At 45.6% G+C, this 14,080-nt stretch overlaps 1 protein-coding gene across 5 annotated transcripts in view; it reads right to left on the reverse strand.

Annotated features, from left to right (window-relative positions):
* The window catches only part of APBA1 (amyloid beta precursor protein binding family A member 1), a 245,482-nt gene that overhangs the window by 3,929 nt on the left and 227,473 nt on the right, over positions 1-14,080 (reverse strand). For all 5 annotated transcript variants that reach the window (XM_011518617.3, XM_005251968.4, NM_001163.4 and 2 more), the window contains 2 exons: positions 9,536-9,655; positions 1,076-1,216 (listed from right to left, as the gene is read on the reverse strand). In XM_011518617.3, coding sequence (XP_011516919.1) covers positions 1,076-1,216; positions 9,536-9,655 — 261 coding nt within the window. The remainder of the gene's footprint in view (positions 1-1,075; positions 1,217-9,535; positions 9,656-14,080) is intronic.

Raw genomic sequence — 14,080 nt, forward strand, 5'->3', positions numbered from 1 at the left:
CCCAGGGCTGGCCAGAGAGGCAGTGCCTCTCCCACAGAGGGCTTTGAAGATACTCCCTACCGCCCAGCCACCACCAGGGACCTGACCCAGGGTGGCCTCCAGGAACAGTGGAATCCACTGACTTTCTCAAAAGCTTAGGGGTGACAGAAATGAACAACAAAAACCAAGCAAGGCTTATTTCTCAGTCAAATGCTCTCGCTCTCACCAGACCCTACCCTTTTAAAAGCAAGAACTCTGAAAATGGAGGAAGGGCTCCAGGCTTCTCAGGGTGCCTGCCTCCCTCATCTCTCTTGGCAGATGAGGCAAGGATGACAAATCAGCCCTAGAACAGCAGTGATGATTGATAGCAGTGATGAATGACAGCAGTGATGACTGACAGCAATGAATGACAGCAGTGTTGACTGACAGCAGTGATAAATCAATGACAGCAGTGATGACTGACAGCAGTGGTAACTGACAGCAGTGTTGACTGACAGCAGTGATAAATGAATGACAGCAGTGTTGACTGACAGCAGTGATAAATGAATGACAGCAGTGATGACTGACAGCAGTGATGAATGACAGCAGTGATGACTGACAGTAGTGATGACTGATAGGAGTGATGAATGGCAACAATGATGACTGACTGACAGCTGTGATGACTGACAGTAATGACACGTCATGCCACACTGCACTGGGGTCACACCTCTGGAAGGCCACTTTGTTGATTCAACTTGAGTCTAAGACTTAAATCTTTTAAAAACATTTGGGGAGATTAACTGGGGAAAATGGAGGCAACTTAGGCGGCCATACAGAAAAGCAACAGAAAGCTGAGTGTTAAAAAGAGAAGGTGAGCACATCAGATGAAAGAGAAGGCTGAGGGTGATCTGATTCCATTTCATGGAGGAGCTCCCAGATAACTGCTTGCTAATGGGTTTGGCATTTGGTCAGAGACAGGTCTGCTTGTTGGGGAGTGTTCAGGATTGGAAACTCAGGGAGCTTTCCTGGAAGGTCTGCTCAGGGCCACGGTGAGCATACGAGGCAGGGGCACCAGACGCGGCCCTCAGCACCACCCTCAGCCCCGGACCTCTCCTACCTCCCCAACAGCATTGGAGAGAATGTGGACGATCTTCTCGTGGGGGGTGGCCACGACGCTCTGTCCATTGATTTCAATGATCCGGTGCCCCACACGGACGCCTCCTCTCTCAGCTATTCCCCCTCGCATGAGGCTGCAGATCTGCCAGAGTCAAAGGCAGAGTTACCCTCATTGCAGACAGTGCGGTGGGGCTGGAAGGCCGTCTTTCCTGAAAGCCCCCTGCCCCTACACTCTGCTCTTGGAGAAACTGACATGGTTAGGCTTTGGGCATTTAACTCTCTTAGTGTCTTTTCACAAAAAAATAGGTGCCGTCGGCCCACATGGCCACCTTGTTCATGCGGCTTGCACAGAGACTGTAGCACATCACTGGTTTTTACGGCACACTGAATTCTACTTCTCATCCCAGCTGGGGCTGGGTAAAAAGGGCCATTTGGGTCTGTCGCAGAGTCGCCAGTGTTTCCAAACTGTCAGCCTGTGTGACACAGGTTAGTGTTAGTTCCCGTAGTCATGACTGGGACTCAAGCACTGAAGCGTTTAATGCCAGCAGACTGTTTTTAGGGTCACGATTGCCTGAGCCACCATGGGGCTGGAACTCCACTCCGTGTTCCAAAGTGTGGCTGGCTGGAGGGGAGAGACTCCTTCAGAGTTTCCCAATTCAGCGGCCCCTGTTCAAACTCCCTTCCCACAGAAAAGACAGTGAGGCTGGATTTTGTGATGGCACAGCCAGGTACCACAGTGACCCGAGGTTGCAGGCGGGGCTGATGCGCCCTCCACCCTTACCTCACACACACTACAACATAACTTTTCCCAAAAGAGTAGGTCTGAATTTACTAAGTTGGCTTTTCATTCCAGACCATGCACCTTTATTTAAAAGTGGATGCAGACAAGATTGCAAGTGACATCTTGCAGCAACATGCTGTGTGATTCTGAGTGTGTGGCCCAGCTGCTCTCTCAGCTAGTCTGGGGTCAAAACATTCCTTAGGTGTTTTCCCAGTGGACCCACACATGTTAACAACTCCTTGTTCGTATCTGAACTTTTAATGCAGTTTAACTATGAACAAAGCAAACAAGTACAAGTACAAACCAATGAAAAGATGATCTCAGAGCTAAACTGTAAAGAGTCACCCTAGATCCTCTCCTAATAGGCAAATTAGGCTACTCAGGTACAAAGAATGCAGGAAGTGGGGCTGGATATTTCAACTCCAAATGGGAAGTTCAAGGGTATTTCTAAACCTTCAAATGTATTTGGAATGATATTTTAATTACCTAGGACTTTTTTTTTTTTTTTTTTTTTAAGACAGAGTCTTGCTCTGTCACCTAGGCTGGAGTGCAGTGGCATAATCTCTGCTCACTGCAACCTTTGCCTCCCGGGTTCAGGTGATCCTCCTGCCTCACCCTCCTGAGTAGCTGGGATTACAGGTGCCCGCCACCACACCTGGCTACTTTTTGTATTTTTAGCAGAGACTGGGCTTTGCCATGTTGGCCAAGCTGGTCTCAAACTCCTGGCCTCAAGTGATCTGCCTGGCTTCGCCGGAAGGCCAAGGTTTGAAGGATCACTCAAATACCAAACTGTTCGAGTCCCAATTGTGACTGTGGGAACTGAGCCGGCCCCTGCACTGTACAGCCCCAGGCTTGGGAGTCAGCTGCTCTGCGGGACTCTGTGCAGCCAGGGTGGACAGTCCAGAGGCAAGGAGGCTCTTGGAGGGTGCATCCCAAACTCTCAAGCTGGCAGCCGGGAAGGCAGTCCTGCATGTCACAGAAACACTGGGTTCTGGGTGGGAATCTCTGCTGAAGGGACTCTGTCCAGAGAGGGAGCTGAGCCTCCTTCATCCACTCATACTCTTTCTTGATGGATTCCTTCAGGGAACAAACTGGCTTAAAACAAAAAAAAAAAAGTCAAAGGCCCTGGGAGCCTGGGATACCAGCACTTTGGGAGGCAGAGGCAGGTGGATCACAAGGTCAGGAGTTCAAGACCGGCCTGGCCAGTATGGTGAAACCATGCCTCTACTAAAAATACAAAAATTAGCCGGGCGTGGTGGCACGTGCCTGTAGTCCCAGCTACTCAGGAGGCTGAGGCAGGAGAATCCCTTGAACCCAGGAGGTGGAGGTTGCAGTGAGCCGAGATCGTGCCACTGTACTCCATCTTGGATGACAGAGCGAGACTCCATCTCAATTTAAAAAAAAAAAAAAAGGCCATGCTACATTTTTTTAAAGCATTCCAACAGATGTTTATTATTACTAAAATGTCCACTTTAACGTTTTTATTATTATTAGTATACTTTAAGTTTTAGGGTACATGGGCACAACGTGCAGGTTTGTTACATATGTATACATGTGCCATGTTGGTGTGCTACACCCATTAACTCGTCATTTAGCATTAGGTATATCTCCTAATGCTATCCCTCCCCCCTCCCCCCACCCCACAACAGTCCCCAGTGTGTGATGTTCCCCTTCCTGTGTCCATGTGTTCTCATTGTTCAATTCCCACCTATGAGTGAGAACATGCAGTGTTGGTTTTTTGTCCTTGCCATAGTTTTCTGAGAATGATGGTTTCTAGCTTCATCCATGTCCCTACAAAGGACATGAACTCATCCTTTTTTATGGCTGCATAGTATTCCATGGTGTATATGTGCCACATTTTCTTAATCTAGTCTATCATTGTTGGACATTTGGGTTGGTTCCAAGTCTTTGCTATTGTGAATAGTGCCACAATAAACATACGTGTGCATGTGTCTTTGCAGCAGCATGATTTATAGTCCTTTGGGTGTATACCCAGTAATGGGATGGCTGGGTCAAATGGTATTTCTAGTTCTAGATCCCTGAGGAATCGCCACACTGACTTCCACAATGGTTGAACTAGTTTACAGTCCCACCAACAGTGTAAAAGTGTTCGTATTTCTCCACATCCTCTCCAGCACCTGTTGTTTCCTGACTTTTTAATGATCGCCATTCTAACTGGTGTGAGATGGTATCTCATTGTGGTTTTGATTTGCATTTCTCTGATGGCCAGTGATGATGAGCATTTTTTCATGTGTCTTTTGGCTGCATAAATGTCATCTTTTGAGAAGTGTTTGTTCATATCCTTCACCCACTTTTTGATGGGGTTGTTTTTTTCTTGTAAATTTGTTTGAGTTCATTGTAGATTCTGGATATTAGCCCTTTGTCAGATGAGCAGGTTGTAAAAATTTTCTCCCTTTCTGTAGGTTGCCTGTTCACTCCGATGGTAGTTTCTTTTGCTGTGCAGAAGCTCTTGAGTTTAATTAGATCCCATTTGTCAATTATGGCTTTTGTTGCCATTGCTTTTGGTGTTTTAGACATGAAGTACTTGCCCATGCCTATGTCCTGAATGGTATTGCCTAGGGTTTTTATGGTTTTAGGTCTAACATGTAGGTCTTTAATCCATCTTGAATTAATTTTTTATAAGGTGTAAGGAAGGGACCCAATTTCAGCTTTCTACATATGGCTAGCCAGTTTTCCCAGCACCATTTATTAAATAGGGAATCCTTTCCCCCATTGCTTGTTTTTCTCAGGTTTGTCAAAGATCAGACAGTTGTAGATATGTGGCATTATTTCTGAGGGCTCTGTTCTGTTCCATTGGTCTATATCTCTGTTTGGTACCAGTACCATGCTGTTTTGGTTACTATAGCCTTGTAGTATAGTTTGAAGTCAGGTAGCGTGATGCCTCCAGCTTTGTTCTTTTAGCTTAGGATTGACTTGGCAATGTGGGCTCTTTTTTGGTTCCATATGAATTTTAAAGTAGTTTTTTCCAATTCTGTGAAGAAAGTCATTGGTAGCTTGATGGGGATGGCATTGAATCTATAAATTACCTTGGGCAGTATGGCCATTTTCATGATATTGATTCTTCCTACCCATGAGCATGGAATGTTCTTCCATTTCTTTGTATCCTCCTTTATTTCCTTGAGCAGTGGTTTGTAGTTCTCCTTGAAGAGGTCCTTCACATCCCTTGTAAGTTGGATTCCTAGGTATTGTATTCTCTTTGAAGCAATTGTGAATGGGAGTTCACTCATGATTTGGCTCTCTGTTTGTTGTTGGTGTATAAGAATGCTTGTGATTTTTGCACATTGATTTTGTATCCTGAGACTTTGCTGAAGTTGCTTATCAGCTTAAGGAGATTTTGGGCTGAGACAGTGGGGTTTTCTAGATATACAATCATGTCATCTGCAAACAGGGATAATTTGACTTCCTCTTTTCCTAATTGAATGCCCTTTATTTCCTTCTCCTGCCTAATTGCCCTGGCCAGAACTTCCAAAACTATGTTGAATAGGAGTGGTGAGAGAGGGCATCCCTGTCTTGTGCCAGTTTTCAAAGGGAATGCTTCCAGTTTTTGTCCATTCGGTATGATATTGGCTGTGGGTTTGTCATAGATAGCTCTTATTATTTTGAGATACATCCCATCAATACCTAATTTATTGAGAGTTTTTTAGCATGAAGCGTTGTTGAATTTTGTCAAAGGCCTTTTCTGCATCTATTGAGATAATCATATGGTTTTTGTCTTTGGTTCTGTTTATATGATGGATTATGTTAATTGATTTTTGTATGTTGAACCAGCCTTGCATCCCAGGGATGAAGCCCACTTGATCATGGTGGATAAGCTTTTTGATGTGTTGCTGGATTCAGTTTGCCAGTATTTTATTGAGGATTTTTGCATCAATGTTCATCAACGATATTGGTCTAAAATTATCTTTTTTGGTTGTGTCTCTGCCCGGCTTTGGTATCAGAATGATGCTGGCCTCATAAAATGAGTTAGGGAGGATTCCCTCTTTTTCTATTGATTGGAATAGTTTCAGAAGGAATGCTACCAGCTCCTCCTTGTACCTCTGGTAGAATTCGGCTGTGAATCCATCTGGTCCTGGACTCTTTTTGGTTGGTAAGCTATTAATTATTGGCTCAATTTCAGAGCCTGTTATTGGTCTATTCAGAGATTCAACTTCTTCCTGGTTTAGTCTTGGGAGGGTGTATGTGTTGAGGAATTTATCCATTTCTTCTAGATTTTCTAGTTTATTTGAGTAGAGGTGTTTATAGTATTCTCTGATGGTAGTTTGTATTTCTGTGGGATCATTGGTGATATCCCCTTTGTCATTTTTTATTGCGTCTATTTGATTCTTCTCTCTTTTCTTCTTTATTAGTCTTGCTAGCGGTCTATCAATTTTGTTGATCTTTTCAAAAAACCAGCTCCTGGATTCATTGATTTTTTGAAGGGTTTTTTGTGTCTCTATTTCCTTCAGTTCTGCTCTGATCTGAGTTATTTCTTGCCTTCTGCTAGCTTTTGAATGTGTTTGCTCTTGCTTCTCTAGTTCTTTCAATTGTGATGTTAGGGTGTCAATTTTAGATCTTTCCTGCTTTCTCTTGTGGGCATTTAGTGCTATAAATTTCCCTCTACACACTGCTTTGAATGTGTCCCAGAGATTCTGGTATGTTGTGTCTTTGTTCTCGTTGGTTTCAAAGAACATCTTTATTTCTGCCTTCATTTCGTTATGTACCCAGTAGTCATTCAGGAGCAGGTTGTTCAGTTTCCATGTAGTTGAGTGGTTTTGAGTGAGTTTCTTAATCCTGAGTTCTAGTTTGATTGCACTGTGGTCTGAGAGACAGTTTGTTATAATTTCTGTTCTTTTACATTTGCTGAGGAGTGCTTTACTTCCAACTATGTGGTCAATTTTGGAATAGGTGTGGGGTGGTGCTGAAAAGAATGTATATTCTGTTGATTTGGGGTGGAGAGTTCTGTAGATGTCTGTTAGGTCCGCTTTGTGCAGAGCTGAGTTCAATTCCTGGATATCCTTGTTAACTTTCTGTCTCATTGATCTGTGTAATGTTGACAATGGGGTGTTAAAATCTCCCATTATTATTGTGTGTGAGTCTAAGTCTCTTTGTAGGTCACTAAGGACTTGCTTTATGAATCTGGGTGCTCCTGTATTGGGTGCATGTATATTTAGGAGTGTTAGTTCTTCTTGTTGAATTGATCCCTTTACCATTATGTAATGGCCTTCTTTGTCTCTTTTGATCTTTGTTGGTTTAAAGTCTGTTTTATCCGATACTAGGATTGAAACCCCTGCCTTTTTTTGTTTTCCGTTTGCTTGGTAGATCTTCCTCCATCCCTTTATTTTGAGCCTATGTGTGTCTCTGCACATGAGATTGGTTTCCTGAATACAGCACATGGATGGGTCTTGACTCTTTATCCAATTTGCCAGTCTGTGCCTTTTAATTGGAGCATTTAGCCCATTTACATTTAAGGTTAGTATTGTTATGTGTGAATTTGATCCTGTCATTATGATGTTAGCTGGTTATTTTGCTCGTTAGTTGATGCAGTTTTTTCCTAGCCTCGATGGTCTTTACAATTTGGCATGTTTTTGCAGTGGCTGTTACTGGTTATTCCTTTCCATGTTTAGTGCTTCCTTCAGGAGCTGTTTTACAGCAGGTCTGGTGGTGACAAAAATCTCTCAGCATTTGCTTGTCTGTAATGTACTTTATTTCTCCTTCACTTATGAAGTTTAGTTTGGCTGGATATGAAATTCTGGCTTGAAAATTCTTTTCTTTAAGAATGTTGAATATTGGCCCCACTCTCTTCTGGCTTGTAGAGTTTCTGCCAAGAGATCCGCTGTTAGTCTGATGGGCTTCCCTTTGTGGGTAACCTGACCTTTCTCTCTGGCTGCCCTTAACGTTTTTTCCTTCATTTCAACTTTGGTGAATCTGACAATTATGTGTCTTGGAGTTCTCTTCTCGAGGAGTATCTTTGTGGCGTTCTCTGTATTTCCTGAATTTGAATGTTGGTCTGCCTTGCTAGATTGGGGAAATTCTCCTGGATAATATCCTGCAGAGTGTTTTCCAACTTGGTTCCATTCTCCCCGTCACTTTCAGGTACACCAATCAGACGTAGATTTGGTCTTTTCACATAGTCCCATATTTCTTGGAGGCTTTGTTCCTATCTATCTATCTTTTTATTCTTTTTTCTCTAAAATCCTCTTTATGCTTCATTTCATTCATTTCATCTTCCATTGCTGATACCCTTTCTTCCAGTTGATCACATCGGTTACTGAGGCTTGTGCATTTGTCACATTCTTGTAGTGTGGTTTTCAGCTCCATCAGGTCCTTTAAGGACTTCTCTGCATTGGTTATTCTAGTTATCCATTCGTCTAATTTTTTTTCAAAGTTTTTCACTTCTTTGCCATTGGTTTGAACTTCCTCCTTTAGCTCAGAGTAGTTTGATCTTCTGAAGCCTTCTTCTCTCAACTCGTCAAAGTCATTCTCCATCCAGCTTTGTTCCGTTGCTGGTAAGGAGCTGTGTTCCTTTGCAGGAGGAGAGGTGCTCTGGTTTGTAGAGTTTCTGGTTTTTCTGCTCTGTTTTTTCCCCATCTTTGTGGTTTTATCTACCTTTGGTCTTTGATGATGCTGACGTACAGATGGGTTTTTGGTTTGGATGTCCTTTCTGTTTGTTAGTTTTCCTTCTAACAGTCAGGACCCTCAGCTGCAGGTCTGTTGGAGTTTACTGGAGGTCCACTCCAGACCCTGTTTGCCTGGGTATCAGCAGCAGTGGCTGCAGAACAGCGGATATTGGTGAACCGCAAATGCTGCTGCCTGATCGTTCCTCTGGAAGTTTTGTCTCAGAGGAGTACCCGGCTGTGTGAGGTGTCAGTCTGCTCCTACTGGGGGGTGCCTCCCAGTTAGGCTACTCAGGGGTCAGGGACACACTTCAGGAGGCAGTCTGCCCATTCTCAGATCTCAAGCTGTGTGCTGGGAGAACCACTACTCTCTTCAAAGCTGTCAGACAGGGACATTTAAGTCTGTAGAGGTTACTGCTGCCTTTTGTTTGTCTGTGCCCTGCCCCCAGAGGTGGAGCCTACAGAGGCAGGCAGGCCTCCTTGAGCTGTAGTGGGCTCCACCCCGTTCGAGCTTCCCCGCTGCTTTGTTTACCTACTCAAGCCTGGGCAATGGTGGGTGCCCCTCCCCCAGCCTCGCTGCCACCTTGCAGTTTGATCTCAGACTGCTGTGCTAGCAATGAGTGAGGCTCCATGGGCGTAGGACCCTCCGAGCCAGGTGTGGGGTATAATCTCCTGGTGTGCCGTTTGTTATGCCCATTGGAAAAGTGCAGTATTAGGGTGGGAGTGACCCGATTTTCCAGGTGCTGTCTGTCACCCCTTTCTTTGACTAGGAAAGGGAATTCCCTGACCCCTTGCGCTTCCCGGGTGAGGCGATGCCTTGTCCTGCTTCAGCTCTTGCACAGTGCGCTGCACCCACTGTCCTGCACCCACTGACCGGCACTCCCCAGTGAGATGAACCTGGTACCTCAGTTGGAAATGCAGAAATTACCCGTCTTCTGCATCACTCACGCTGGGAGTTGTAGACTGGAGCTGTTCCTATTTAGCCATCTTGGCTCCACCCCCCCAGCCATGCTACATTTTTATTTGTCAACATTGTGGAAAAGGGTGTGGAAGGTGTTCTACTTACAATTCCATTCTGGACGCTGAAACCGAGCTGGTAGCGAAGGTCTGGTCTTCTGATTAACACGGTGGTCACCGGAGGACATCTCACGATATTCAGCTTGACTCGGGACTGATTCTTTAAGCCCTTAAACATGAATAAAGTACAGTGGGTATGGTGACCACTGAGGCAGACAGAATAAACAAAAGCAGGCAGCACCAAAGGCAAAAGAAGCTGCACTGAGTCTTCCGAAGGACCCACTGCCTGCTTGCCTGCAGGCCTCTGGTGCCTGGGCTGGTACAGTCACTGCTCGGCTTCACCTACCCAGGGCTAAGACGCCACATGTTGCAGATGGAGCCCTCTTAGCCCACGCACAGATGGGGTTCCTGTGGGCAATGCCTTCCTTTTGGGAAGTGGGCTGGGTTCAAGGGATCTGATCAAAGTACTTGTGCAACTATGAGGAAGTATCAGATGTCCTTTTTGGCTTCAAAGATGAAGGAGGCACACTATTTCCCCCAGCCAGGAGCAACATGAGTGGGAAATGGACTTTTCTTCTGAAAGGCAAACTCTAGCAATGACTCCTCTTCTAACAAAGGACATCTAACTCACAGCAACTGGCCTGATTCATCATGGCTCTTTTCTCTTGTCTCTGATGCTCCTCTTTCCCCTTCTTTCTGCCAGTTAGAGATTTTATAGCTGTCAACATTCCCACAGCAACCAGGGACTCCAATCAGTGTGTGCCTCCTTGGGAGAATGGGGAGGGTTGTAGGATGGGTGTTGATGGAGAAGGAAGAGGAAGAAATACGACTTGCAGACTGTTGTTTCATGATCCCTGATGACACACCTCTCCCTCTAAATTAAAATGGAGCGTAGAGGGAAAGCTGATCTTCGACTATAAAAAGGAACTAGTTTCAGAGACTATGTAGAAAGCTTCCACCTCTGTGTGGTCTGAGCTGAGCTCAGGCTCCTGCTCCTGTCCCCTGATCAGACTCACAGCAGTGACAGAAGCCCTGGTGTGCTCAGAAGCATCTTTAGAAAACCATCACAAGGCTACACTTGCCCTCTGCTGGGTGGTGGGAAGGTTTGCTCCTGCAGGCCTGACCACTGACTTGTCAGCTTCACCCTAGAGGAGGGTGCCAGGCAAAAGGAACTCAGCCCTGAAACAAATGTCCACTTCCAGTCTCCCCAGGGTGCCTGCTGTGCCTCAACAAACTCCTCATTGCCACATGGAGGAGAAGGAATGGCTGATAGCAGGTGCCTTCCCACCCCTTTCAAGTCATGGTATGCAGGAGGATCATGTTTGCATGCTGGGGTAAACAGACCACACTGTTGTAGCTGCAGGCCCTGCAGCCCCTGGCCCTGCTATAAGAGCTGAGGCAGCGGGGGTCATAGCCCTCAGTGGGAAGCACCTGCCCAACTGGACTCCCATCTATAAGGCCAGCTGCCTGGGAAACCGCTCAAGTTCAGCCCCAGGCCCACTACTCCAAAGGGAACTGTGGGGTGGGTGGGAGGAGAGGTGGGTAACTTTTCCTGCAGGAGAGAACAGCTACCAGGGAATGAGGAGGGACTCAGGGAAAAGGCAAGCTCTGTTCTATCCAAGCCCACAGTATCGCTCAGAGACAGCACCTGCTCAGTTCACAAGTGAGTGGGTCCAGTTTGCGCCCTCTACGAGTGAAGTGGAAAGAGGACCTGTAAAGAACAGTGACAAATCCAAGAAAAGCATGCATGAAGGGTGATCGTCTGCCTCTTATTCTATAAATAGAATTCTGTAAATTCCACAGCCACTACTGCTGTCACTCCTTGACCAGTCTACCAAATCTTTTTCAGTGCGAGGTCAGGACTTACATTTCACATTTTAAAGATGAAGACATAGACACAGATTGCTTTGTCCAAGGGCTCTGTGGGGTCAGGACTGGAACTATGGATCCCTGCTCAGGTACCCTGCCTGGCAGAGGCGTGAAACTGGTGTTAGACAACTTCACTGCAAACAGAATCTGTAGCAAGAGTGCTTCTTGGAGTGGCAGAAATGACCTATACCCCTTTTGTATCTGAGTTACAGGATATGCTTTAGATTGAGGGAGAGGTAGGGGCTATTTTGCCTCTGGTTATCCAGCTTTACTATGCTTGGCCAGCAGGTGTACACCAATGGCTCTTAAACCCCACACAGCAGCAGCAGCAGCCCCTGGCCACTTTTTAGAAGTGCAGATTCTGGGCTCTACCCAAGCCCCACTGAATCAGAAAACCTAGGGGTGGGACCCAGGAATCTGTGGATGACAAATCTCCCAGATGATTCAGGTGCACGCTCAATTTTGCGAACAACTGTTGTGGACTACTACTGCAGAACAATGAATGACCTCATCTGCATCCAGGTGGCTTAATTTCTCCATGGATGATTACACCCAAAGATGTCAATTTACTAGTCACACCTGCAGCCAGTGTGCTCAGTGAGAGCAGGCGCTGGCAAGGGTGGGGTGAGGGTGACATCTTGTGGGAAATTTTGTTTGCCCAGTCACTATACAGCTGACCCCTGTTCAGCCATCTGCATGTCTATGTCATGCAGGAACACCCCTAAGATCACTGCTGCATCAAAACCCACCCTGATGATGAAACTAATTGAACCAAAATGACTGTAACTACCTGTCATTGAACACTCACTGTTATCTGGCATTAACCTGGAAAGGACAGGAGCTGTCTCATTTAATGTGGCTGTAATTATTTCTATATTATAGAAGAGGAAACTGAGGCTCAGAGATTTTAAATGACTCACTCACATTCACACACAGCAAGATTCAATCCTATGTCTGTCCGCATTCAAAACGCACAGTATTTCTACACCATAATGCCCCATATACACAACCAGAGAGGGTGTGTCTTTTGTGAATAAGGCTTGCTCCACAAAGACAACAGGGTCAGCCACAGAACAAATCTGTGTCCCCAAATTCCAGCCTTGAATTGGGGCCATCTTTTTAGTTCATTTTCCTACGTGGCAAGAGTTTTTCGGGGTTCCTGGTCCTCATAATCCCCCACCCCCTGGCTTCCCCACTGACTTCTGCTTCTAGTTTGTGCTCCTAATGTGTGAATTTTGATGGAACTCAATTTCCCCGCCGTCAGCATCTGCTCCCCCCGTGCTCTGAATTCCTCTGCTTTCTGCAGGACTTGAGCCTCCCCATGGCTGTCACTCAGCTTGTGGCCTCGATGTACCATGCGACTTAGCATTCACATTCATGTGGCATCTCCTGGTGGTTTTGGAACATCTCCAGGGAACTGCTCTGGTTAAGGAAATGATTCCAAAGCACAGCAATGGAATGAGTGTGATTCTCCCTGGGGAAATGAACATCTGTGAAGGATCCAGGCCTTCCATATGCGGCAGATCCCATCGTCCCCATCGACAAAGGGAGATGCTCTGGCCTTCTGCTCCTATCAATAGGACCAGCACAGCCTGGTGAAGAGGACTCTTGTGGTGTCAGAAAACCTGAACTCAAGTTTTGTTTCTGCTACCCCAAGCAGTGGGATCTGAAGCCCTTTGCTGGCCCTTCTCCCACCTCAATTTCCTCATCTTCACAACAAATGGTGAAGCTCACTAATGTCTCTGGCAGTCCTAATTTCAATGATTGCACCCCCTTTAATGTGTTTATTCCTAAATGTCTTTGCCTTTAACACCAAATCTCAACCATTATGCTTAAACCTATTCCTAAAATTTAAAGTGGGCTTCTTTTGTGGGGCTAGGAGGTACGGTGGAGAGCAGCTCAGACATTCATGCAGATATTTTTATCTGCTTTGAGTGCTTCCTCCTTTCCATCCACCTAATCAATAAATATTTACGAATCACTTGTCATGTGCCAAGAAATGTGTTAGGCACTGGAGATTCAGGGAAGCGCACCCTCTCCGGGGCTGGATAAGAGACATTATCAGTACTAAGCACAGGGCTCTGAGCCCAGAGGGGGCTGGAGTCCCTTCACCCTTTTCTCTCTAATCACACACCAGGAGACCAGGAATTTGTGGGAAAGAAGAGAGATGAATGATGAAGACAGGAGCATGTTGTTGGAATCTCAACCCTTCAGGCAAAGCCACCTGCTTTAAATGTTTACGCCTATTAACCACTGAGATTATTTAGGTATGCTTGTGTGATACAGAAAATGTTACCCAACATACCGAAAAGCAAGAGAATGACTCTATTTTCTCAATGTTGCCTAAAAAATTCATATTGCTCTGGTGGGTTCTTTCCGGTTCTTTCCTTCTCTGTGAATTGATTTGGGATGCCTGATCTGTCCCTCAGTGAAAAATTTTCTAGATTGGGGAAAATGTGTTGCAAGATGAAGCTTAGAGAAATAGCAATTTGAAATAACGAGACCATGCATTTGCTCTGCTGTTCCTAATCAATGTTTCATGTTGGGTCCCATTAACTTGGATTTCTGAGCTGCCATTTTATTGGAGGTGCCAATTAAATAAAGGGTCATTTGGTCCCCATGACAACAGTGGAACGGTACAGCAAATTAAGAAATCTGGTGGGAGGGGAAGCCCAGAGAAGAGGGGCGAAGAGAGAAAAGAGAAGCCAGAATGGTCTCTATAGCA

The sequence above is a fragment of the Homo sapiens genome, chromosome 9, assembly GCF_000001405.40.
Source record: "Homo sapiens chromosome 9, GRCh38.p14 Primary Assembly".
Classification (NCBI taxonomy): Eukaryota; Metazoa; Chordata; class Mammalia; order Primates; family Hominidae; genus Homo; species Homo sapiens.